This window comes from Homo sapiens, chromosome 18 (genome assembly GCF_000001405.40).
Source record: "Homo sapiens chromosome 18, GRCh38.p14 Primary Assembly".
Classification (NCBI taxonomy): domain Eukaryota; kingdom Metazoa; phylum Chordata; class Mammalia; order Primates; family Hominidae; genus Homo; species Homo sapiens.
In genome coordinates this window covers 35,756,173-35,759,061 of record NC_000018.10, presented here as the reverse complement: position 1 = coordinate 35,759,061, position 2,889 = coordinate 35,756,173, and the positions used below count along the sequence as shown (strand labels likewise).

The 2,889-nt window shown below is 38.1% G+C and overlaps 1 annotated feature.

The window, feature by feature from the left end:
• Positions 2,223-2,517: an enhancer, noted in NCBI's record as "tiled region #7575; K562 Activating DNase unmatched - State 12:CtcfO". NCBI's record gives its function as "activates a minimal TATA promoter and a strong SV40 promoter by Sharpr-MPRA in K562 cells {active_cell/tissue: K562}" and the evidence as "EXISTENCE:reporter gene assay evidence [ECO:0000049][PMID:27701403]".

Here is a 2,889-nt window from a genome sequence, read left to right as displayed (position 1 = left end):
TATACTGATCTCCATAGTGGCTGTGCTAATTTACATTCCCACCAACAGTGTACAAGGGTTCCCCTTTCTCCACATCCTTGTCAACATCTGTTATTGCCTGCCTTTTTGGTACAAGCTATTTTAAACAAGGTGAGATAATACCTCGTTGTGGTTTTGATTTGCACTTTCCTGATAATTAGTGATGTTGAACATTTTTTCATATACTTGTTGGCCATTTGTATATCTTCTTTTGAGAAATGTCAGTTCAGATCTTTTGCCGATTTTTATTTATTTTTAAATTTTTAATACTTTTTACTCTTTTAAAATATTTTTTTAACTGACACAGGGTCTTGTTCTTTTTTCACCCAGGCTGGAGTGCAGTGGCATCATCACTACTCACTGCAGCCTCAACCTTCTGGGCTCAAATGATCCACTACAGCTTCCCAAGGAGCTGGGAATACAGGTGCATGATGCCACTGCACCCAGCTACTTTTTTTTTTTTTTTTTTCAAGAGGTAGGGTCTTACTATGTTGCCTAGGCTGATCTTAAACTCCTGGGCTCAAGCTATCCTCTCGCCTTGGCCTCCCAAAATGCTAGGATTATAGGTGTAAGCCACAGTGCCCAGACACCCATTTTAAAATCAGATTATTTGTTTTATGCTATTGAGTTGTTTGAACTCTTTATATATTCTGGTTATTACTCTCTTGGCAGAGGGACAGTTTGCAAATATTTTTTTCCCATTTTGTAGGTTGCCTGTTCACCTTGTTTCATTTGCTGTGCAGAAGCTTTTTAACTTGATGTAATCTCCGTTGTCTATTTTTGCTTTGATTGCCTGGAGCTTTTCCTCAATGTTTTCTTCTAGTAGTTTCATAGTTTCAGGTTTTAGTCCTTTTAAATCTTTAATCCTTTTTGATTTGATTTTTGTGTATAGTGAGAGATAGGGATCTGGTTTCATTCTTCTGCATTTAGTTGTTCAGTTTTCTCAGCACCATTTATTGAAAAGACTGTCCTTTCCCTATTGCATATTCTGGGATCTTTTGTCAAAGATGAGTTGGTTATAAATGTGTGGATTTATATTTGGGTTCTCTATTATGTTCTATTGTTCTATGTGTCTGTTGTTATGCCAGTACCAGTGAATTAACTTTTCTACCAATATGTAATATCCCTTTTTAACCCTGGTAGTTTTCTTTGTTCTGAAGTCTACTTTGATATTAACATAGTAGTTTTGTTTCAGTTGGGGTCTTCAATGTGCAGTTTTTTTTTTTTTTTCCATAGTTTTTCTTTTTAACCTACCTATACTATAATATTTGAGGAGAGTTTCTTATAGAGAGCATGTACTTGAGTCATTTTTATAAAATTCATTCTGTCAATCTCTATCTTTTAATTGGTGTGTTTATGTCATTTACATGTAATGTAATTATTGATATGTTTGGATTCAGGTCTTCTAATTATTATTTATTTTCTACTTTTTTCTGTATTTTTAGTTCACCTTTTTTTTTTTCCTTTGTTTGGTTTACTTAAACTTCTTTTTTAGTATTCTAGTTTAAGTTATCTAGTGTGTGTGTTATTGGGTTTTTTTTTTCTTCTTCTTTTTTTGAGATGGAGTCTCTCTCTGTCACCCAGGCTGGAGTGCAGTGGTGCAATCTAGGCTCACTGCAACCCCTGCCTCCCAGGTTCAAGCAATTCTCCCACTTCAGCCTCCCAAGTAGCTGGGACTACAGGCATGCACCACCATGCCCAGCTAATTTTTGTATTTTTAGTAGAAACAGGGTTTCACCATGTTGGCCAGGGTGGTCTCAAACTCTTGACCTCAAGTGATCCACCTTCCTCAGCCTCCCAAAGTGTTGAGATTACAGGTGTGAGCCACCACTCCCGGCCTCTAGTGGGTTTTTGGCATTAACTCTTGGTGTAATTTTTCAGTGTTCTAAGGATTACAATATACATATTTGACTTTTTGTAGTCTATTTAGAATCGATATTTCACCATTTCAAGTGGAATATCAGAATCTTACCACCATATGGATCTCCTTACCTTCCTCCTCTTTTTGTTGTAATTGTCTCATGTATTACAGCTACATACTTTGAAACTTTTTAAAATGGTGTTAAAAATTTTTGCTTTTAATTGTCTTACATATTTTAAAGAACTCAACAAGAGAAGAATAACCTATTATACTTATCCAGATATTTGCCATTTCTGTTCTTGTTCATTTCTAATGTTCCACATTTCCTTCTGGTATCATTTTTTCTTCCCCTCTTACCTACCTAAACAATACCTGGTGGCCCAGCAGAGACAAAGAATCACAGCAAGAGAAAGAGAAATCAATTTAATTAAAGATTTAATGGCTGCAGGACTACTCAGAGGCAGTTCCTAGTATAACAGCGCCACCTGCTGGAAGAGAAGCCAAATAAACTTTTTTTTTGTTCCAAGGCAGCTGTGACCAAGCTCTTGCTGGAACTGAATGCCTGACGCGAGGATGCTTTGTGACTCTTTGGCCTGCCATCCCCATTTTGGGGTGTATCAACTCACTCAATGACTAAAAAAGTGAGAAGAGCCTAAGAGATCTCTCCGTTTAAAAGGAAATGGAGTATTCAAGAGCCAGTTGGCCTCTCCTTAGCAGCATCTTGGCAGCAATCCCTTTAGCGGAAACATTATCACCAACCATGCCCCCTAAAGCAAAGCTGCTGTAGGTGTTCAGCCTCAGCACCATCTCCATAAAACAATAAGTGAACATGATCACTCTGCTCAGTGGGCAGAACTCACTGCAGTCCTAATGCCCTCGCCAGTGCTTCCCGCAAAGAAATTTGCTACATGTTAACTAACTCTTACCTGGCACCAATGGCCTGGCCGTCTGCTCTGCTGCTGGGAAGACTCTAGACTGGAAGGTTACAGACATCCCTCTTTGGAGCAGCA